The sequence below is a fragment of the Homo sapiens genome, chromosome 8 (assembly GCF_000001405.40).
Source record: "Homo sapiens chromosome 8, GRCh38.p14 Primary Assembly".
Taxonomy (NCBI): domain Eukaryota; kingdom Metazoa; phylum Chordata; class Mammalia; order Primates; family Hominidae; genus Homo; species Homo sapiens.
The window spans coordinates 43,017,601-43,042,040 of record NC_000008.11 but is presented as its reverse complement, the minus strand read 5'-3'; the positions used below and the strand labels follow the sequence as shown (position 1 = coordinate 43,042,040).

At 42.0% G+C, this 24,440-nt stretch overlaps 1 protein-coding gene across 1 annotated transcript in view, besides 1 other annotated feature; it reads right to left on the bottom strand.

The window, feature by feature from the left end:
* Positions 8,160–8,711: an enhancer, noted in NCBI's record as "H3K27ac hESC enhancer chr8:42888473-42889024 (GRCh37/hg19 assembly coordinates)". NCBI's record gives its function as "activates a minimal SCP1, AML or CMV promoter by ChIP-STARR-seq in primed H9 embryonic stem cells {active_cell/tissue: H9 hESC(primed)}" and the evidence as "EXISTENCE:reporter gene assay evidence [ECO:0000049][PMID:30033119]".
* HOOK3 (hook microtubule tethering protein 3) overlaps positions 11,506–24,440 on the bottom strand; it is a 133,558-nt gene continuing 120,623 nt past the window's right edge. Inside the window, exon 22 of the mRNA NM_032410.4 lies at positions 11,506–23,683. Within this exon, the coding sequence (NP_115786.1) occupies positions 23,543–23,683 (141 nt within the window). The 3' untranslated portion in view covers positions 11,506–23,542. The remainder of the gene's footprint in view (positions 23,684–24,440) is intronic.

The following is a 24,440-nucleotide window of genomic DNA, read 5'->3' as shown; positions in this document are numbered from 1 at the left end:
GAGATGGAGGTTCAGCAGCAAAGATCGCATTGAGGAGTTGGGAATTCTGATCCCCAAGGCCTACGACCTATGGGGGAGGGTAGGGGTCTGGGAGTGGGTGGCAGCTGACAAGTATTATCTGTCCCTAGCCCCATGCTAGTTGCTAGGGGGAAGCGATGGGAAGAGAGTCCGTTCTAGGAATTCACCTGAGAAAATAAGATCCTAGTCCAGTTTTGAGATGACTACAGCCAGGACAGGCACCTGGATTGCAGCTTTGTCAGAAAGTTTGAGCCGGAGGGACCAGCTGAGCAGCATCTGCATTCCCGCACCACAGAAACTGTGAGCCAACAAATGTGTGTTCTTTTATGTGGCCAACTTGGGGATTAATTTCTTTTTGGTTGTTGTTTTTTGAGACGGAGTCTCACTCTGTCGCCCAGGCTGGAGTGCAGCAGCATGATCTCGGCTCACTGCAACCTCCGCCTCCCGGGTTCAAGCAGTTCTCCTGCCTCAGCCTCCTGAGTAGCTGGGACTACAGGCGCCAGCCACCACGCCCGGCTAATTTTTTGTATTTTTAGTAGAGACGGGGTTTCACCATGTTGGACAGGATGGTCTCGGGCTCCTGACCTCGTGATCCACCCGCCTCGGCCTCCCAAAGTGCTGGGATTACAGGTGTGAGCCACTGTGCCCGGCCGCAATTTATTTCATAGCAATAGATAAGAAATACAGAAGGCTAGGGGCCGGGCACGGTGGCTCGCGCCTGTAATCCCAGCACTTTGGGAGGCCGAGGAGGGCGGATCACGAGGTCAGGAGATCAAGACCATCCTGGCTAACATGGTGAAAACCCCTCTCTACTAAAAATACAAAAAATTAGCCGGGCGTAGTGACGGGCGCCTGTAGTCCCAGCTACTCAGGAGGCTGAGGTAGGAGAATGGCGTGAACCCGGGAGGCGGAGCTTGCAGTGAGCCGAGATTGCGCCACTGCACTCCAGCCTGGGAGACAGAGCAAGACTACGTCTCAAAAAAAAAAAAAAAAGAAAAGAAAAAAGAAAGAAATACAGAAGGCCAGGCACGGTGGCTCACGCCTGTAATCCCGGCATTTTGAGAGGCCGAGGCAGGTGGATCACCTGAGGTCAGGGGTTTGAGACCAGACTGGCCAACATGGGAAAACCCTGTCTCTACTAAAAATACAAAATTAGCCGGGCATGGTGGCGCATGCCTGTAATCTCAGCTGATCGGCAGCCTGAGGCAGGAAAATCACTTGAACCCAGGAGGTGGAGGTTGCAGTGAGCTAAGATCACGCCACTGCAGTCTAGCCTGGGCGACAGACTGAGACTCCGTCTGAAAAGAAAGGGAAGGAAGGAAGGAAGGAAGGAAGGGAGGGAGGGAGGGAGGGAGGGAGGCAGGCAGGCAGGGAGGCAGGCAGGGAGGCAGGCAGGGAGGGAGGGAGGAAATATAGAAAAAATGCAAGGCCGAGGAAAGTAGAGCAACCTCTTTAAACAAGTGAAGGAAAAACCCCAGTAAAAATATGTTTCAAAAATGTGGCAAAGTACTTTTCAAGTTATAGAAAAGCTGAAGGAATTCATCACCAGTAGACTTTTAGTACGAAATACGTTAAGGGACATCCTTCAAGCAGAAGGAAAATGATATGAAACAGAAATCTGAATCTACACAAAAGAAGGGCACCAGAAATGGTAACTGTATTGTAAAATATAATATTTTTATTCTTATGCAGTCCTCTTTAAAAGATAAGTGACTGCTTATAGCAAAACAAGTGTATTATGGGTTTAAATAACAGTTATAGATTCAAAATATAGTAGCATAAAGCATGGGCAGGAAGAATGAAGATATACTGTTGGAGGCTCTTACGCTACACTTGAAGGGGTACAATATCACTTGAAAGCAAACTGTGGTAAGTTAAACATGTAAACTATAAACCATAAAGCAACCACTAAAACAACACAACAAAGAGTTATCACAAATATGTCAACAAAGGAGATAAAATGGAATACTAAAAAATACTCAATTATTCCAAAAGAAGGCAAAAAAAGAAAAAAGGAACAATGAACAGATAGAACAAATAGAAACAAATAGCAAGATGGCAGTTTTAAACTAGCCATACAAACAATTTTATTAAATGTAAATGGCCTAACACACGGATATGATTTGGATCTGTGTCTTTAAACAAATCTCATATTGAATTGTAATCCCCAGTGTCACAAGTGGGGCCTAGAAGGAAGTGATTGACTCGTGGGGGTGAATTTCTCATGAATGGTTTAGCACCATGCTCCTTGGTACTGTCCTCCAGGTAGATAGTGAGTTCTTGTGAGATATGATAACTTAAAAGTGGGTAGCATGGGGCCAGGTGCAGTGGCTCACCCCTGTAATCCCAGCACTTTGGGAGGCCTTGGCGGGCAGATCACCTGAGGCCAGCAGTTCGAGACCAGCCTGGTCAACATGGTGAAACCCTGTCTCTACTAAAAATACAAAAATAAGCCAGACATGGTGGTGGGCACCTGTAATCCCAGCTAGTCGGGAGGCTGAGGCAGGAGAATTGCTTCAACCCGGGAGGCGGAGGTTGCAGTGAGCTAAGATTGTGCCACTGAACTCCAGCCTGAGCGACAGAGCAAAACTCTGTCTGAAAAAAAAAGAAAAAAGAAAATATTCTGAACTGAATAAAAAGAAAAACATAGTATATAAAAATTTGCAAGATTTAGGCAAGGTAGTACAGAGAGGGTTTTTTTTGTTTTGTTTTTGTTTTGAGACTGAGTCTCACTCTGTAGCCCCGGTTGGAGTGCAGTGGCACAATCTCGGCTCACTGAAAATTCTGCCTCCTGGTTTCAGGTGATTCTCCTGCCTCAGCCTCCTGAGTAGCTGAGATTACAGGCGCCTACCATCACACCCAGCTAATTTTTGTGTTTTTAGAAGAGACAGGGCTTCACCATGTTGGCCAGGATGGTCTCGATCTCTTGACCTCGTGATCTGCCTGCCACGGCCTTCCAAAGTGCTGGGATTACAGGCGTGAGCCACTGTGCCCGGCCCAAAATTCCAACTTTTTAAAAGTAGAAGTTGATGAGCTGATTATAAAATTCATATGGCAAAGAACCCAAATAACAAAAACAATTTTGAAAAGGAAAAGAAACTGGAGGACTCACACCATGTGACTTCAACATTTCTTGTAAAGCTACCACAATCAAGGTAGGGTGTTACTGGTGTCAAGACAGAAATATAGATCAATGGAACCAAAAAGGAATCCAGAAATAAATAGGCTTACACATTATACTCAATTGATTTCCAACAAACATGTACAATGCAGTTCAGTGGAACAAATTTCCACTTTTCAACAAATGGTGCTGGAACAGTTTATATACCCACACACAAAATAAAAAGAAAGAAAAGAAACTTCAATCCATATTTTACACTATATACCAAAATTAAGCTGAAATGGATAATAAACCTAAATGTAATATATAACATTATGAAACGTCTAAAAAAAAAAAAGGAAATCTTTGCAAGCTTAGGTTAGAAAAAGATTTCTTAGATCCAAGATGAAAATTAAGAAATTCTGCACTTTGAAAGACACACTACTAAGAAAATAGAAAGCCAAGCAACAGACTGGGAGAAAATATATTGCACATCAATTATCTAATAAAGAATTTTTTTTTTCCCAAGATGGAATGTTGCTCTGTCACCCAGAGCTGGAGTGCAATGCTGTGATCTCGGCTCACTGTAATGTCCACCTCCCGGGTTCAAGCAATTCTCCTGCCTTAGTCTCCCGAGTAGCTGGGATTACAGGCATGTGCCACCATGCCTGGCTAATTTTGTATTTTTAGTAGAGATGGAGTTTCACCATGTTGGGCAGGCTGGTCGCTAACTCCTGACCTCGTGATCCGCCCACTTCAGCCACCAAAAGTGCTGGGATTACAGGCATGAGCCACTGCGTGCAGCCTTAAAGAACTTTCATCTAGAATACATACAGAATTTTCAAAATCAATAATAGAAAAATAAACCCAATAAAAATGGGAAACAATTTGAAAAATAATTTCATCAAAAGATATATGTATGGCAAGAACATGAAATGTTCATCAAGAGGGATGAACATTAATACCACAAGATATCATTATATGCCATTAGAGTGGCTAAAGTGAAACAGACTGACCAAATCAAAACCACAGTAATACCAGTTCACACCTGCTGGAATGACTAGAATAAAACAGATGGACCCAAGTATTGGCAAGGAGGTAAAGGAGCTGAAAGTCTCCTGTACTGCTGTTGGGAATGTAAAATATACAACCAGATCATAATATAGTTTGGTGGTTTGTAAAACATGGGCGGTGTGGTAGCTCACACCTGTAATCCCAGCACTTCAGGAGGCCAAGGTGTATGGATTACCTGAAGTCAGGAGTTTGAGACCAGCCTGGCCAACATAGTAAAACTCTGTCTCTACTAAAAAAATACAAAAATTAGCCGAGTGTGGTGGCAGCCTTCTGTTATCCCAGCTATTCAGGAGGCTGAGGCAGGAGAATCGCTTGAACCTGGGAAGCGGAGGTTGCAGTGAGCCAAGATCTCGCCATTGCACTCCAGCCTGGGTGACATAGTTAAGCATAGGCTGGGCACAGCGGCTGAGGCCTGTAATCCCACAATTTTGGGAGGCTGAGGCGGGTGTATCACGAGGTCAGGAGATCGAGACCATCCTGCCAACATGGTGAAACCTCTTCTCTACTGAAAATACAAAAATTAGCTGGGCGTGGTGGCACATGCCTGTAATCCCAGCTATTCGGGAGGCCGAGGCAGGAGAATTGCTTGAACCCAGGAGGCAGAGGTTGCAATGAGCTGAGATCGCGCCACTGCACTCTAGCCTGGCAACAGAGCAAGACTCCATCTCAAAAAAAAAAAAAAAATTAAAAAAAAATTAAGCATATGACCTAGCCATTCCACTCCTAGGTGTTTACCCAAGAGAAATGAAAGCACATGTTCATAGGAATGCTTATAAACAAACATTTAAAACAACTTTATTTGTAACAGCCCCAAAACTGGAAACAACTCAAATGTCTACCACAGGCAAATGCATAGATTGTGCATTCATAGTAGTACCCATACAATGGATCCTACTGAGCAGTTAAAAGAAATGAACTATGGGTGTATACGGCATGGATAATTTTTTTTTTTTTTTTTTTTGAGACGTAGTCTTGCTCTGTCACCCAGGCTGGAGTGTCTTGCTCTGTCACCCAGGCTGGAGTGCGGTGGCCCCATCTCGGCTCACTGCAAGCTCCGCCTCCCGGGTTCATGCCATTCTCCTGCCTCATCCTCCCGGGTAGCTGGGACTACACGTGCCCGCCACCACACCCAGCTAATTTTTTGTATTTTTAGTAGAGACGGGGTTTCACCGTGTTAGCCAGGATAGTCTCGATCTCCTGACCTCGTGATCCGCCCTCCTCGACCTTCCAAAGTGCTGGGATTACAGGCGTAAGCCGCCGCGCCCAGCTCGCATGGATGAATTTCAAAATAATTATGTTGAGTAAAAGAAGCCAGACAAAATGAGTACATACTATATGATTCCATTTACATAAAATTATAGACTATGCCAAATAATCTAGTGACAGAAAGCAGATAAATCATTGCCTGGAAATGGGGGTGAGTACATGGGAGCTTGGAGGGACCAGAGGAATGACAAAGGGGCCTGAGCAAACCTTAACTGGGAGTATGAACAGTTCATCACCACACATACGTGTATTCTTATTTTGGACAATATCCTTAAAATATAGTCCCCCAAGCTGGGCGCGGTGGCTCACTTGTAATCCCAGGACTTTGGGAGGTTGAGGCAGGCAGATCCCTTGAGTTTAAGAGTTTTGATACCAGCCTGGGCAACATGGGGAGACCCCTTCTCTACTAAAAATACAACAATTAGCCGGGAGTGGTAACACATGCCCGTAATCCCAGCTGTTCGGGAGGCTGAGGCAAGAGACTCTCTTGAACCTGGGAGGTGGAGGTTGCAGTGAGCCGAGATCATGCCACTGGACTCCAGCCTGGGCAACAGAGTGAGACTCTGTCTCAAAAAAAAAAACAAAACAAAAAAAGAGGGAGCGGGGTGGGCTGGGCGCAGTGGCTCAAGCCTGTAATCCCAGCACAGCACTTTGGAAGGCCGAGGCGGGCGGATCATGAGGTCAGGAGATGGAGACCATCCTGGCTAACCTGGTGAAACCCCGTCTCTCCTAAAAATACAAAAAAATTAGTCAGGCGTGGTGGCGGGCACCAGTACTCCCAGCTACTCGGTAGGCTGAGGCAGGAGAATGGTGTGAACCCAGGAGGTAGAGCTTGCAGTGAGCTGAGATCACACCACTGCACTCCAGCCTGGGCGACAGAGCAAGACTCCATCTCGGAAAAAATAAATAAATAAATAAGCCAGATGTGGTGGTGCACACCTATAGTCCTAACTACTCAGGAGGCTAAGGCAGAAGGATTGCTTGAGCCCAAGAGTTTGAAGTTGCAGTGAGCAGTGTTTGCGCCACTGCACTCCAGCTTGGGTGACAGAATGAGACCCTGTCTTATGAACAAATAAAGTCCCCCAAATTAGGCACCAGGGTACTTAACATTTTATATGTAACATTTTTTTTTGAGACTGAGTCTCACTCTCGCCCAAGCTGGGATTCAATGGCGTGGTCTCGGCTCACTGCAACCTCTGCCTCCTGGTTTCAAGCGATTCTCCCACCTCAGCCTCCCAGGTAGCTGGGACTACAGGCGCATGCCACTACACCCAGCAAATTTTTGTATTTTTAGTAGAGACGGGGTTTCACTATGTTGGCCAGGCTGGTCTCAAACTCCTGACCTTGTGATCCACCTGCCTCGGCCTCTCAAAGTGCTAGGATTACAGGTGTGAGCCACCGTGCCCGGCCAACATTTTATATATAACTTTTTTATAGCTTATGTTACGTGCAATTAGATACCTACCAAAAGAAGTACGAGTGTTACTTGTGGCTTCGAACCTACCAGATTTCTGTGTAGTTTCTACCTCAGGTTTTGTTCACACTGAAGTCATGTACCTGACTGTTGTGCACAGTGAACGTGCTTGGCATAGAAATCAGAAAATGGGGAAAGATTTTACCTCAGAAGTATGGTCCTCATAGCAGACATTTTCCTTCGAGTCCAGAGTGGCAGCTGTGTAACCTGGTCATCCTACCACTGAGAATTGCAGTGTATTCTGTCACCCCATGGACCTGGTCTTGTCCATGACAGTTTTGACAAATAAGAGACGTGATGCCATGTGGTTTCCAAGGCTACAGAAGCTGCAAAGCATTCACCTGGGTCTCTTAGGACTCTTGCTCTAGGGAAAGCTGGCTGCGTGGAATAACTCACCTAGTCATTTTGTGAGAAAATCCAAACAAGTCCTGGCATGATGCTGTGTGGAAATGTCCAATGCGCCTTGGAGGTGCCATCCATATCAGCCTGGGTGCCAGGCATGTGGGAGAGCAAGTCTTCAGATCACTCTGGCCTCACACGTCATCTAACCTAACCACACCCAAATGGGAGATCCCATCTGAGAACAGCGGAGCCTGAGCCTGTCTCCAGACTCAGGAGGGATAGTAATAAGTTGTTTGAAGACCCTAGGTTTTGGAGTGGTTTGTGATACAGCAATAGATAATCAGAACAGTAGCAAAAATGTATTTAAGGCAAACCTGGCAGGTCTTTGGCTGGGGAACACTTCTTTTTGCAGGGTTTTGCTCTGTTGCCCAAGCTGGAGTGCAGTGGCACGATCTTGGCTCACTTGCAGCCTCGACCTCCTGGGCTCAAGTGATCCTCTTGCTGAGTAGCTGGGACTACATTAGTGCATCACCATAACTTCCATTGTGAACTTTAATTAATATGGGTATCTCCGATGTGTGAAAGAAAGTATGGAAAACAAATTAATTGAAAGGGAGAAAGAATGTGGAATGGAAAAGTTAAAATACAAGTGAAAAGATGCTGAAAATGATCATTTTTTGGTAACTGAGTAACAGGACATGGGTAACTTTTTTTCTACTTAAAAATTAATCACCTCTCCCTCTCCCTCTCCCGTCTCCCTCTCCCTGTCCCTCTCCCCACAGTCTCCCTCTCCCTCTCTTTCCACGGTCTCCCTCTGATGCCGAGCCGAAGCTGGACTGTACTGCTGCCATCTCGGCTCACTGCAACCTCCCTGCCTGATTCTCCTGCCTCAGCCTGCCGAGTGCCTGGGATTGCAGGCGCGTGCCGCCACACCTGACTGGTTTTCGTATTTTTTTGGTGGAGACGGGGTTTCGCTGTGTTGGCGGGGCCGGTCTCCAGCTCCTAACCGCGAGTGATCCGCCAGCCTCGGCCTCCCGAGGTGCCGGGATTGCAGACGGAGTCTCGTTCACTCAGTGCTCAATGGTGCCCAGGCTGGAGTGCAGTGGCGTGATCTCGGCTCGCTACAACCTCCACCTCCCAGCCGCCTGCCTTGGCCTCCCAAAGTGCCGAGATTGCAGCCTCTGCCCGGCCGCCACCCCGTCTGGGAAGTGAGGAGCGTCTCTGCCTGGCCGCCATCCCCATCTAGGAAGTGAGGAGCGTCTCTGCCCGGCCGCCCATCGTCTGAGATGTGGGGAGCGCCTCTGCCCCGCCGCCCCGTCTGGGATGTGAGGAGCCCCTCTGCCTGGCTGCCCAGTCTGGAAAGTGAGGAGCTTCTCTGCCCGGCCGCCATCCCATCTAGGAAGCGAGGAGCGCCTCTTCCCGGCCGCCATCCCCGTCTAGGAAGTGAGGAGCATCTCTGCCCGGCCGCCCATCGTCTGAGATGTGGGGAGCGCCTCTGCCCCGCCGCCCCGTCTGGGATGTGAGGAGCGCCTCTGCCCGGCCGCGACCCTGTCTGGGAGGTGAGGGGCGTCTCTGCCCGGCCGCCCCGTCTGAGAAGTGAGGAGACCCTCTGCCTGGCAGCCGCCCCGTCTGGGAAGTCAGGAGCGTCTCCGCCTGGCAGCCGCCCCGTCCGGGAGGGAGGTGGCGGGGTCAGCCCCCCACCCCCCCCAGCCGCCCCGCCCGGGAGGGAGGTGGTGGGGTCAGCCCCCCGCCCGGCCAGCCGCCCCGTCCGGGAGGGAGATGAGGGGCGCCTCTGCCCGGCCGCCCCTACTGGGAAGTGAAGAGCCCCTCTGCCCAGCCGCCACCCCGTCTGGGAGGTGTACCCAACAGCTCATTGAGAACGGGCCATGATGACAATGGCGGTTTTGTGGAATAGAAAGGGGGGAAAGGTGGGGAAAAGATTGAGAAATCGGATGGTTGCCATGTCTGTGTAGAAAGAAGTAGACATGGGAGACTTTTCATTTTGTTCTGTACTAAGAAAAATTCTTCTGCCTTGGGATCCTGTTGATCTGTGACCTTACCCCCAACCCTGTGCTCTCTGAAACATGTGCTGTGTCCACTCAGGGTTAAATGGATTAAGGGTGGTGCAAGATGTGCTTTGTTAAACAGATGCTTGAAGGCAGCATGCTCGTTAAGAGTCATCACCACTCCCTAATCTCAAGTACCCAGGGACACAAACACTGCGGAAGGCCGCAGGGTCCTCTGCCTAGGAAAACCAGAGACCTTTGTTCACTTGTTTATCTGCTGACCTTCCCTCCACTATTGTCCTATTACCCTGCCAAATCCCCCTCTGCGAGAAACACCCAAGAATGATCAATAAAAAAAAAAAAAATTAATCAATGCAGATTTTTTTTTTTTTTTTTTGACGGAGTCTTGCTCTGTTGCCAGGTTGGAGTGCAGTGGCACGATCTTGGTTCACTGCAATCTCCACCTCCCAGGTTCAAGTGATTCTCCTGCCTCAGCCTCCCGAGTACCTGGGATTACAGATGCATGCCACCATGCCTGGCTAATTTTTGTATTTTTAAAAGAGATGGGTTTTCACCATGTTGGCCGGGTTGGTCTCAAACTCCTGACCTTGTGAACTGCCCCCCTCAGCCTCCCAAAGTGCTGGGATTACAGGCGTGATCCACTGCGCCCGGCCAATACAGATTTAAAAAAAAAAAAACAAACCAGACATTTTTAACTTAAAGAAGATGATGATTCCAGGTAAAATCATAAATTGGTATCATCAGCCAGGCACAGTGGCTCACGTCTGTAATCCCAGCACTTTGGGAGGCCAAGGTGGGAAGATTGCTTGAGCTCAGGAGTTCGAGACCAGCCTGGGCAACATGGAGAGAATCTCTTTAAAAAATAAAATAAAATATAAATAAATTGGTGTAACCCCTTTGGAAACCAGTACGACTACCCATTCAGCATTCTAATTTTAGGTATATCGGTAGTTGCAGATGTTGTCCACAGACATGGGGAAGAATGCTCATGAAGCACCTTCTATTTACCCACAAAAATTTAAAATAAAAAAGCTTTTAAAAGAAAAAAAAAATATGGGTATCTCCAAGCAAATGAGTAAAGAAAACTTGTATTTATTTTTCTGACATTAAAATGGGTACTATTTTGGCTAAATATATACTAGTTTTATTTTGCTGCTAACTTCACTTTGGAACTAACAAGTTGATATTTAATGTAAATATAATCCACTTCCATTCTGCTACTACCATTTTAAATAACAACAAAGATGCCAGATTTCAATGACTAGGGGAGAGCTGGGGGAAAAGGATAAATTGTAAGGATCTAAGAAGGCAGGAAAAGTGCATTTATTGCCTAAATAGGGTGTCAACAATGCTTTACATTGTGACCTTATCACAAAGAATACTATACTCTCTGTGGCAAAATCAATCATGGCAACATGCTAGCTCTAGAGAGAAGCAGCCATGTTTCATTTTTATCCTCAAAGGCTAATCAGCTTACAAACATAAAATACCAGCCTAAATCAACATGAAATCTACCACCAGTACTGGAAAAAAACCAAATACTACTCCTGACTTACACTCACTGCAACCTCCGCCTCCTGGGTTCAGCAATTCTCCTGCCTCAGCTTCCCAAGTAGTTGGGACTACACATGCATGCCACCACGCCCAGCTAATTTTTGGATTATTTATTTACTTACTTATTTATTTATTTATTGGCTGGAGTGCAGTGGCGCAATCTCGGCTCACTGCAACCTCCGTCTCCTGGGTTTAAGTAATTCTCCTACCTCAGCCTCCTGAGTAGCTGGGATTACAGATGCGTGCCACCAAGCCTGGCTAATTTTTGCATTTTTAGTAGAGACAGGGTTTCACCACATTGGCCAGGCTGGTCTTGAACTCCTGACCTCAGGTAATCCGCCAGCCTCGGCCTCCCAAAGTGTTGGGATTACAGGCATGAACCACCGCACCTGGCCAATTGTATTTTTAGTAGAGACGGGGTTTCACCGTGTTGGCCAGGCTGGTCTTGAACTACTGACCTCAGGTGATCTGCCTGTCTTGGCTTCCCAAAGTGCTGGGATTACAGGCATGTGCCACCGCTCCCAGCCAGTGACATAATCTTTAAATTGATAGGACATAATGGCAAGTCTCAAAGGTGAGTGGAAGAATATCACCAATTATGAAGTATATTTGTCAGAGTTTAAGAGCAGAAAAAAGAAATCTAGGCTGAATTTTTATACAAGTCTTTATTTACAACTTGTTTAACAACTGTACACTTTTTGCAGCCTTGAAAACATTTTTGTACTTGAATGGGAAAATATAGTTTGACCAAATCTTAACTTTATTCTTCATATACATATACATATATTATATGCATACATATAAACACATACATATAATTAATACCGTAACAAGTTGGCAGTCGTAAAATTAAAATGAGTAAATGATATCAAAAGGAAATACAAGATTTCAAAAACACTAAAAATCCATCTTCTGGTGGTTTCCTGGACTTTATGTTTTTGTGATTTTAGTTGAAATTTCTTACTGAGGCTCTGTAACAAGTCATTCACCTCAGAAAAACAGCCAGAAAACCCACCAATCTCAACACATAGTAAATGGTTGGAAAACTCAGTAAACAGGTGGAAAAATGCTTGGACATCATTATGTACAACACTGCTAAATCTGTATTTCATTTTTGAAGTGAGAAGTTCCAAGTCTGATGTGGACATTGTTTTTGGATTATAATGACAAAGAATGAAATTCTGAAAAATGTAAATTCAATACTCAATCAGAAATAAGAATATACCTAGCAATATCCTTTTTGCAAAGACTAAAATGCAAGGTGGATTACTACAATGTCAAATATGAAACTAACAACAATTCACAGAACAATCAATGGTACTTAAGACATGAATATAAGGCTTCAGAGTTGGGGCTGTACTCAATACAACTCCAGCTCCAATGTACTAAGGTTTCATCCAGCTCATCTAAAAAGTTTTAAAAATACTACAGGGGGAAAAAAAAGCCTCTTTCTATCCCCAAGTTTTTTGATATAATTTATTAATCAAACTAAGGCAAATTATTATTAGATATGTTTGAATTTTACTATTCATTTCATAATCAAAAATTGAGTATTGTAAATGGTGGGCAATTGTCAAAACATGAAAACTGCAAAACAAGATAAGCCTAGAAATTATTTTCTAAGTACAAAGCATTCTGAATTACACAGAACCTGTAAACAGCAAAGTTCATGACAGCGATGATATTTTAGTGCATTTGAATTATAAATAACTAAGGCTGTTAAAAAATAAAAGATTTGGGCCGGGCGCAGTGGCTCATGCCTGTAATCCCAGCACTTCAGGAGGCCAATGCGGGCAGATCACGAGATCAAGAGATCGAGATCATCCTGGCCAACAAGGTGAAACCCCGTCTCTACTAAAAATACAAAAATTAGCTGGATGTGGTGGCATGTGCCTGCAGTCCCAGTTACTTGGGAGGCTGAGGCAGGAGAATAGCTTGAACCTGGGAGGCGGAGGTTGCAGTGAGGCGAGATCGTGCCACTGCTCCAGCCTGGTGACACAGCAAGACTCCGTCTCAAAAATAAATAAATAAATAAATAAAAGATTGCTGTTAAAGACATTAAAAGGCCCCAAATCACTGATTAGCATTTGTGTACAGTCATTTCTTGTATTTAGAGTAAAATGCTATTTCTTATTTCAAGCATATTGAAAACGTCCCTTAACTAATATGAATCGCTACAGAACACATACTAAAGTAGGTCACCAAGAAGATAATAAACTGAAGTCACACCACTTACTCATCTGTACTTGAACTACAATAAGAATCATCATAACTTGCTTGGAATTCGACACTGCTGGATCAAGTCTGTTGCTTGATTACAAAAATTTAAAGAGAAAGAAGAAAGCATCAAGATTTCCTAACAAAATAATTGTAAGCACCAAGCTGACTCAAAAGGATTATGGTTAGTCCCTTATTTCCATTAAAAAATTTAGACATGTTACTATAGATCCATTTAGTTATGTTAAGCACTTTAGTAGCAGGCCAAGTAAATTAATACATATTTTTAAATGTTTTCATTAGCTAAGTCACTGGAATAGTAAATGCCTTATACATAAAACTTAATTTGATTCATAATACAAGTTAATAAGAGCAGGAAGTTATGAAGATAAAAAAATTGTTTGCATCTTGATGTACCTTTGAGGTGGACTTTCAGGGGAAATGTTTAAGGGACAGAAACAAAAAAAACTGTTGGCAATGTTCATTAGATCTATATAAATTTAAAAGGAAGGATATCATTAAATCTATCAATCTTTATTTGAAATAAGCATTCATATGAATTTGCCTGATAAATGTTAACTATATAACATCAATTTATATTATTTTTTTTTAGAGACAGGGGTCTTGCTTTGCCACCCAGGCTGGAGTGCAGTCAGGTGTGATCAGACCTTACTGCAGCCTGAACCTCCTGGGCTTAAGCGATGCTCCTGCCTCGACCTCTGGAGTAGCTGGGACTACAGGCATGAGCTACCATGCCCAGCTAATATCAATTTTAAAAGAGTTTACATAAAAAGGGAAAAAACACTGAAGATATTAAGAAATGATTTATAAAATGATTTTATCACTTGAAAAATAAAGTATTGAGAATCTGTTCTTAGAAAAATATATACTGAAGACTAGCTTAAAGGAATGGGGTTTTGATTTTTTCCAAGGTCTTTAAAAAGGATTAGTATTAATTTTTATAACAGAAAAACTTTCTCTAAGTATGGTGGTAAAATCTCAGAGTTGTCTTAAGTTACTTCACTGCCTTTATTTTGTCCTTATTTTCTCTCTGGGCAATAAAAGTGCTGTTGAATAGCATTTTTGGCAATACTGGAAATGTTCTATACCTGTACTGTCTGATAGGTAACTACTATCCACATGTGACTGTGGAACACTTGAAATGTGGCTAGGCCACTGAGAAACTATAGTTTTAATTTTACTTAATTTTAACTGTCACATGTGGCTACTGAATAATCTACTCTTGTCTAGGTTAACAAGAAGACAATGGAAGTTAAGATACTTAGAGACTTAATCATTCAACAATTAATTAGTGGAAGATATTCAGAACATTGTATTTCGTCCTTATGTGTTATGTTTCACTTTTAATTTTCTAATTTGGGAGAGAAAAAAAGCAGTCCTTTCCCTCAAAGGCCAGGGTCTAGACTTCTCTATTCCAGCGTTGCTCTCTTCTAGATGAGCTTCTCATGCAAAGCACGTCAGTAGAACAGGGGGTAAGGTAGAAGAGAAACGTTTTGTACTTTAAAAGCATGTCTCTCATCTACAAACAGAACAAATGACAGAATGTTCTCATAAGCAAATCTCTCTATTCTTTGGCAGTAATTGTGTCCATATTTATGTAACATAATAAACAAGTATTTCAGTATTTTTGAACTATGATTTGAATATTAATATACTCAAGTTACAAATGTAGAAGTCCTGGCTCCTAAAGAAAGTCTCTCGGTAGACAAGTTGAAAACTTTGCTATATATGAATGTAAGAAAATGGCCAAGTTCACTGGGCATGGTGGCTCACGCCTATAATAATCCCAGCACTTTGGGAGGCTGAGGCGGGTGGATTACCTGAGGTCAGGAGTTCAAAACCAGCCTAGCCAATATGGCGACACCCTGTCTTTACTAAAAATACAAAAATTAGTTGGGCGTGGTGGTGGGCACCTGTAATCCTAACTACTCGGGAGGCTGAGGTGGGAGAATCACTTGAAACCGGGAGGTGGAGGCTGCAGTGAGCTGAGATTGTGCCACTGCACTCCAGCCTGGGCAACAGAGTGAGACTCAGAGTGAGACTCCATCTCAAAAGAAAAAAAAAGAAAAAAGAAAACAGCTGAGTTCATAAAACCTATCTGTTACAGGGGAACTCAGAATGCTTTTGCAGCCTGCCATCTTTAGTGCCTGCCTTTCCAGTCACCTCTTCCCCACCATTTTCCTGATCCTCCGACTTGACAGCTCCCAGAACTTGGCTTTCCTGTCTTTTAGGTACATGCAGTGACGGAGGCACTGCTGAAGTTAGGGGCAATCTGCAGGTTTGTGTTTCAGGAGGCAGGCAAACCAAAGGTAAGAACATCTTCTGATTAACTGTAAGATGGGATAATTTTTATGAATACAACTTCAGAAAGCATCAAGTTTCAAGGGTGTTTGCGTTTGAAAGGATTTGGCTTCTAAGTATTACATTATAAAAGAGTCTTCTTAAGGAGACATGTAAAAAGTAACTCATATCCAGTAGCTCCAACCCAGCTTCCAACAGATTTCTAGACTTAGACCTTTAGATTCCTGACTCTAAGATAACAGAAAATGCCAGAAAGGTAGAGGGGAAGAGGGAAAATAATGATCTAATATTAGTAAAGTGCTACAAATTTTGCAGTAAAATATACTACATAAATGACTAGAAGTAACAGTAAATAATATTAAGATACTATATAAAGACTATATATTAAGACACTAAATAAAATACACACACTATAGAATGTACACGGAGTAATCACTACCCATGGGTTGACAAATACACCAGAATAAACATGAGTCCTTTTTATTAATTTTACAACATAACTGCTAAAGTAATTATTTTCCTTCATCAAGCTAGTTACCACTCAAGTGTTAACGCCTACCTGGAAGTCTCCCATGTTAAAGCCTCAACATGCTTTGGTAGTCTTCTTTCTCTCAAGTAGGAGTTGCTTTTCTCATGATACCTAATTCTTCCTCTAAGCTCTAAGTAGATATAATTCGGATTTGATAGTCCCATGGGCCCAAACTTTGAGGCCGTGGACACCTCTGATTTCACCTTTATCAGGTAAATAATGGCACAATGTTGAATATACTTTAAAAATGTCTACTTTTGCCTTCATTTAAAACAAAACTGTGTGGGGCTACTGTGTGTAAGTAAGAAGGACATAAAATTGAGCCTATGGCTTGCAAACTAGATAAAGCAGATCTAGATAACACCAAGTTGGTCACGATTTTCAGCCACCGCAGATTTCTTCTCATCTCATCAAATCATAGTATCCTTGGCGACCTAAAATCACTTTCTCAGCTTTAGTAATAGCCAAACAGTCTCAAAATGAAAATAAGTGTTTTTCCCTTTACTAGTAAACATATACAACTACATTATGCACCTAGTTAATACTCAATGAAGGGAAGGACAATTAGAAAATAAATTAGATATTTGTTTACTCTTTTACTGAATAATCATGTAATACAGAGGATTTTAGGCAAACTATTGCTTTGGGAACATCTGTTTAGATAATGCAAGTTTTCATTGTATTAGGACTTCCCTCTGCCTGCATATTTGTTTATAATTAGGCTATTTCTTATCCCAATGATCCACTCCACTTTCTAGGAATGAATTTGCCTTAATAGCCTTCCATTATGTTCTTAGGTTTCTATACTCATGCAAACACACACAGCATGCAAACCGAGTCTTACAGAGTATTACTGGAAATTATAAGAAAACAGAAAACTTCTGAAGAGACATCAAGTAATTCCTGATCTATATCTATATATTTATCTATCATAGGAAAACATTTATAACCCCCCACAATCACCAAAACTCATATACTTGCCATAATTAGGTACAGGTCTCTTGTTTCTCAAACAAATGTCCCTTTCTCTATCATTTCAGTCAATGTGGAGAATCCAAGGATGCCCATGTTTTAAGTCAACATGAATTAAATGTTTTATAAGTTTCTATAGTCATATAGATAATACATGTGAAATGGTTTGATAAAAGGCTATTTAAAAAATAAAATCATCTATATATACTTCCCCAGAAAATCATCAGTGATTTAAAAGAGATGGATGCCACCCCATTTGTGCTGCCCCTTGTTTTCTAGAAAGGAAGCTAAATATTAATACTTCGGTAATTTGAGGGATTGGGTGGAAATTAGCTCTGTTAGCATATTATGTTATGTTTTTTAGGCTTCTGGGAACTGAACAGCATTTGCTGCAAAACTTTAGACCACTTCTGTGTTAAAACTGGACAATAAAACATTTTCAACAAAAGGAACATACACCAATTATTATTTAAATATTCTTTATAGATAGAAAATAAAAAATTAGACGACAGATACATTGAGAATAGCCTTCCTCATAGAAAAAACTTCATGATATAAAACATTCAAATCATTATTATAGTTATCAAGAATAAGCTCTGAAACCTCCTTCTAAATGTAATGAAACTAGGTTGGATAATTACCAAAAGAAACTGCCATTTTGACAGAATGATAGGAAGAGAGATTATCCTTATTGAATGGAAAATCCTTCTAATTTATAAAAATGAAAAAATAGAAAAAATGATAAAATAATTTTCAAAGATTCTGACATCCCATTTGATTTTGCTCAGAATAGTCTTTCATCCTACTGTATGGTATTACACAGGCTTCACTGTTGAGAAGTACAATGCTACATCAGTTTGACGGCCACTGCTAGGCAAAGAATCCCTTCATAATATAAGAATAAAAACTCAAAATATTCTTCTACAGTTTCATGAATAGACAACAAAAAGCACTTTGTCTTCATGTTGTTATTTTGCCCTCAGCAAAAAGCAAGATACCAAGCACTTTCCTCTCACTTTAGAAACAAAGATGTTCTTATCCACGTGGCTGTAAACTAGCTCGGTTTCCACTAGCTGTGGGTTGTGGATGCTTTCTCAGATAAATCACACATGATCCAACTGGGGATAACTGGAGTTATCCTGGACTCAGAGATCTAGATAATAGGAGACTAAATGCAGAGTTAAGAGAATTTTTAAAAGTAATTTAGATTTTTGTTTCAAGATAATTCTTATATTGGGATAAAGACTTCCAAGTTTTTAACATGCTGTTATCATTAAAATGACAGGTGAATTTTTGTGAGGGAGCAGGAGAGGCTGAAAAATATTTCAAACAATTACTTAGCAAACGAGAATAAACCAAACTGCTACTTTCGAAAAGGAAATAGGAGGCTGGGGCAGTAACACACGCCTGTAATCCCAGCACTTTGGGAGGCCAAGGTGGACGGATCACCTGAGGTCAGGAGTTAGAGACCAGCCTGGCCAACATGGTGAAACCCCGTCTCTTTGTATTTTGTAAAAATACAAAAATTAGCTGGGCGTGGTGGCAGATGCCTGTAATCCTAGCTACTAGGGAGGATGAGGCAGGAGAATCGCTTGAACCTGGTAGGCAGAGTTTGCAGTCAGCCAGGATCGTGCCTCTGCACTCCAGCCTGGGGGAGGGGAGGGGAAGGGAAGGGAAGGAAGAAAGGAGGGAGAAAAGAAAAGAAAAGAAAAAAGAAAAGAAGGGAAGGAAGGAAGGAAGGAAGGAAGGAAGGAAGGAGGAAGGAAGGAGAGATAGCAAAGTGGCTCATCAATAAAATGTATATTTTCTTCAACCTAGCTCATCTTTCACTTAACACTCACTCACTACTGATCTATTTGCACAGCACGGATTTTCATTCTTCTGTGAGAACTACTGGAATATACAGGCTGATGTTTCTTTTTTTTTTTTTTTTTTTTTTTGAGATGGAGTCTCACTCTGTGGCCCAGGCTGGAGTGCAGTGGCACAATCTCGGCTTACTGCAACCTCCACCTCCTGGGTTCACATGATTCTCCTGCCTCAGCCTCCCAAGTAGCTGGGATCACAGGCGCCTGCCACCATGCCTGGCTAATACTGTATTTTTAGTAGAGATGGGGTTTCACCATATTAGCCAGGCTGGTCTTGAACTCCTGACCTCAGGTGATCCGCCTGCCTTGGCCTCCCAAAGTGCTGGGATTACAGGCGTGAGCCACCGCACCTGGCCACAGGCTGATGTTTCTGACTGGATAACATTTAGCTTAATTTTGTACAGTTGAGCTTTTATTATATTAACAATAAAACCTCAACAAAATTACAGACAGCAATTTCATCCTTATTATAGTCTAATAATCTAATTAAAACACTTAGGTTAAGGATGTCTAATAGAAATGTCAATCTTGGTAAATTTTGGAACACAGGGTCTTTAGGGACTTTTTTCTGCATTACTATCAAATAGACAAATGGTAAAAGATATGACGGAGTTTTTCAAAGTTCTTTAAAAATATGTACAATTGTATACTTGATTCTCTTTTCAGATATTATACACTACTATATTTTCTGGATTACAAACTTCTGAAATACACACTGTGGAACATAAATGCTAGGTTTTAATATTCTTTAGTTCTTTACTTTGTATTTTCTCACCCTGGTTAGAAGGAAAACAGAAAATGATCTTCCTGTTTATAAGACTTCAGACACTGTGGTGACAGTGTGCTCCAACCCAACACAGCAACCCTGTACTTGCTCCATGCTGGTGCCTGGACAAGCTCCACTGCACAAGCCAACGTGGCCCCAGGAAGGTGCTGTATGCGAGAGTTTGTAAAAATACAGCACAGCATCACTCACGATGAGGCAAAGCTCCTAGTGACTTTAAATTTCCAGATAGACCAGACAACATCACGAATCTCCTGAGGAATCATTAATCATTACTAGAGAAACAGAAACGTCATAAACCCTGTCCAAAGCTGGACACCGGACATGGAGTTGCCACCGTTAGAGCTAAATTTTATTCTTGGCTTTCTGATACCTAAAGTATATTCAGAAGTTTTTTTTTTTTTTTTTTTTACAACAGCCTGTTTTGTTTTTAAACATCATAAAATGTTTAGAAATATAATTTCTCCTATGTAATGAAACTAATACACTGAATTTTATAGGTAAAAGAGAATGAAAATTATAAATGTAGGCTGGGCGCGGTGGCTCACGCCTGTAATCCCAGCACTCTGGGAGGCTGAGGCGGGTGGATCACGAGGTCAGGAGATCGAGACCATCCTGGCTAACATGGTGAAACCCCGTCTCTACTAAAAAATACAAAAAATTAGTCGGGCGTAGTGGCGGGCGCCTGTAGTCCCCGCTACTCAGGAGGCTGAGGCAGGAGAATGGCGTGAACCCGGGAGGCGGAGCTTGCAGTGAGCCGAGATCGCGCCACTGCACTCCAGCCTGGGTGACAGAGCGAGACATCATCTCACAAAAAAAAAAAAAAGAAAGAAAATTATAAATGTAAACATCAAAATAATAGCATACAACAGATGCTGAAGAAAAGTCAGAAGTACGACTGGGCGCGGTGGCTCGTGCCTGTAATCTCAGCACTTTGGGAGGCCGAGGTGGGTAGATCACGAGGTCAGGAGTTTGAGACCAGCCTGGCCAACATGGTGAAACACCATCTCTACTAAATTACAAAAATTAGCCAGCCATGGTGGTGGGCACCTGTAATCCCAGCTACTCTGGAGGCTGAGGCAGGAGAATTGCTTGAACCCGGGAGGCAGAGGCTGCAGTGAGCCGAGATCATGCCACGGCACTACAGCCTGGGTGACGGAACGAGGCTCCGTCTCGGGGGGAAAAAAAAGTCAGAAGTAAAACTCCCCTCTAAAAGCCTGGGGCCTTTCCAACCCAGATAGAGAAAAAATATCTGGGTAGGTGGATGGGTAGGAGATTAGGACTGGGGCTGTAAATAGAAAATGAAAATGAAAACCTCTCATCTCACAGAACAAAATTCATTCAGTGAGTAGTTCACAGACTGTTTTTTTTTTTTTTTTTTTTTTTTTTTTTCTTGCGACAGAGTTTCGCTCTTGTCGCCAGGCTGGGGTGCAATGGCGCCATCTCGGCTCACTGCAATCTCTGTCTCCCAGGTTCAAGCAATTCTCCTGCCTCACCCTCCCAAGTAGCTGGGACTACAGGCACACACCACCATGCCTGGCTAATTGTTTGTATTTTTAGTAGAGACGGAGTTTCACCATGTTGGACAGGCTGGTCTGGAAGTCCTGACCTCAGATGATGTGCCTGTCTCGGCCTCCCAAAGTGCTGGGATTATACGCGTGAGCCACTGCACCTGGCTGTTGTTTTCATCCATCATATTCTGCAGGTACAATTTTCCCAAAATTTTAACTTACCAAGGTTAGTGCTCATATTCCAATTTGATTGATTGATTGATTGACTGATTGAGACAGAGTCTCACTCTGTCGCCCAGGCTGGAATGCAGTGGTGCGATCTCAGCTCACTGCAGTCTCTGGCTCCTGAGTTCAAGTGACTCTCCTGCCTCAGCCTCCCAAGTAGCTGGGATTACAGCCACATGCCACCATGCCCAGCTAATTTTTGTAATTTAGTAGAGATGGGGTTTCACCATGTTGGCCAGGCTGGTCTCAAACTCCTGACCTCAAGTGATCCACCCCCACCTAGGTCTCCCAAATGGTGAGATTGCAGGCGTGAGGCACCACGTCTGGCCCCAATTTGCTTTAAAAATAGTTGGATCCTCAGGCTATTTGTGAAACACGGGTAGAGGTAAGAACCGTCTGAAAGTTTTTAATCTTTTACTTTGGAAACTTTGCAGTTGATCAGGTCTGCGTAGCCTCCTGAAGCCCTACAGCAGTTCTACTCATGGCTATCTCCATTTATCCCTAACTTCTGCTGCTTTGTGGTCCTGTCAGGCAGAAGCATTCATGCTGTGCTCAGACTTCTGTACTTAATGTAAAAAATTAGCACAATGTATGGCTCCAGTTCTGTGTATACTCTAATATCTTTCTTCAACTACGGCTTCTGAGGACAAACAAATACCACTGATTTTTAGGTCATCTTTCTTATTAAAAAGAAAGAAAGAATTTAAAAATCAAACACTTGAATATAGTTGCTGAAAATTCTTAATTACATTTAGCTTGATTTGAGGTTACTTATTCGTATTTAACATAAAGAACCAAATGAAACCTGAACTTGCAAATAGCAAGTACATGAGAAAACATCCTCCTATATTAAGTGACCTAACCTAAAAATAAACAAAAAAACCATGACCTAATTTCAGAAATGTTTTGCTTTCAAAAAATGGGCTACGTTGCAAGAAAAAAGACTTAAATATAATTTGGGACCAAATACATAAGTCAATATGGAAAGTTAGAAGGCATTTCATTTATAAATGAATGATATTTCACACTTATATAGCACCTTATATATACAAAGTGCTTTACAATGATTATTCAACAGCCCATTCATCAATGTAAATAAATGTGGTTTACAATCTGTTAACAAATGTAAGCACTTTGAGGCAACCAAATATCCAAGAAAATCTATTTAGTAACAAATTCCTGGACTAGCAGATAGATGTGAGAAAAAACGTAAAGAGATCTGCCATAATATAACATACAAGAAGTTACTAATGTTAGTGACTGATATTAAGATATCAAGTGTTAGGAATTGTTAAAAAATGGAAGGGTTTATATTAAAGAACAAGTAAAACAAATGGGGCATAAGTCAACAAACAGCCCAAAAATAAGACTACCAATAACTTGTACATATATGAAAGATAACTCTTTTAGATGTGGAAAGCAACTGAAGGTATGTCAACCACATTGTTAGAAAATGATCCTCAGTTACTAAGATATTCCAAAAGAACAAGAAATTAATGCAGTGTCTAATTTTTTTTCTTTTGTAATTTATCCCAAAATAACCTCACCAAACATTCACTTCTGCCAGCAAACAAGATAGCAGGAAATAATGAAATTTTATGTATTTATGTTTTAAAAATAGTCTCCAAATCTTTGGACAAATTTAATTTCCTATAAAACAATGTGAAAACTCATTTTTTCCTCAAATAATTCTTCCAGGTGCCTTAGGGAAGATGTGATTAGCACCTCTGCCAATGTATTCAAGTCTTTGCAAAAAGAACACTTGTCAACCATTTTGTATAGTAAATATGCAAGTTATTTGAACTGTACTTGGAAAACAATTGAAAACACAGATTAATACATCATAAAAAGATTAATTCCCTTTAAACAAAGACATTCTTAGCATGGTAACACACAGGCACAATAAAGAATATAAATTGTATATCAATTATTGGCAGAAAATCTAATTCATTACAAAGCCTATACCTTTGAAGAAGAGGACATTTTCATACAAAGAAAAGTATTACACTATTATACAACATTTTTAATTGAACATGTACAAATTTTTGGCACATTAAAAATAACTGAAAGGACTACAAAATAAAAACCAAAGAAACTAAAACAAAGATACAGGAGAGAGAAAAAGTCCTCAAAATGAGAAACACTAAGTATTGACATAGAAGAGAAACAAAAAATAAGCTGGCTGAGTTTCCTGAAATGTTCTTGTGTGTAACAGAAGTATGTTGTGGGTGCAGGTGTCTGTGATTGAGCGGCACAACTTCTCTACCTTGCTGTGGCCGGCTGCACGTGGCCTGGGTATGATCTTCTGCTGCTGGTCGCTTGCCTCTGCCTCGCCAGAAATGACTGCCCTGAGCCTGTGCTTGCCAGTCTATCTTCAGCTGCCTTTTTATGCAGGGTCATTCCCTGCAACATTAAAACAAAAAAAGGAATCAATGAAAAAATAGTGGAACATACTTCACAAAAGAAAATTTCATCATGCAGAATTTGTTACAGTGTATCATAAAGCACAATTAGGAATGTTAATACTACTCACTATAGATTAAAATCTCATAGAGGCATTTTAGTTCCCATAATTAGGCACAAATTTTCTTTTGGAAAAATTCAGGCTTAATTGTCTGATTTTACAATAAACAATACAGCAGATGATAGAGACAGACTTTACCCATACTCAATCATACTTCCTTTCAAATTAAATGTAGAAAGTGATTTTTTTCCAAGGAAAAGAGTATGATTGGTAGCAGTTGATTCACTCAGGTGGTAGAAATCACAGGGTTTATTTAGAATGAAAAACACAAATGCTTGTGTTGTTTCTTAAGATGGAAAGCCACACTAGGTACTGTACATACCAGCATGCTGTTTTTCTTCACTTCAAGGCAGATTTGTATTCTCAAACAAATTAAGAAAACTTCCTGACAGTCCACAACAGAGGGCCCAAATGAGAGAAGGGGGTCTTTCTTGAAGACAGGAGAAGGATCGCCTACTAACTTAGAAGGGAGAGGAGGCAACTGCTGGACCCAGAGCACCTTAACAGGAGGGAGGAAACCTCCAGGGCACTACCTGACTGCGGAGGAATGACAAGAATATGATAATGACACTACTTACTAAAGGCAGAAGTCTATGAGTACATCAGGAAAAAAGCAGTTTTTTGGTACTCATTTAA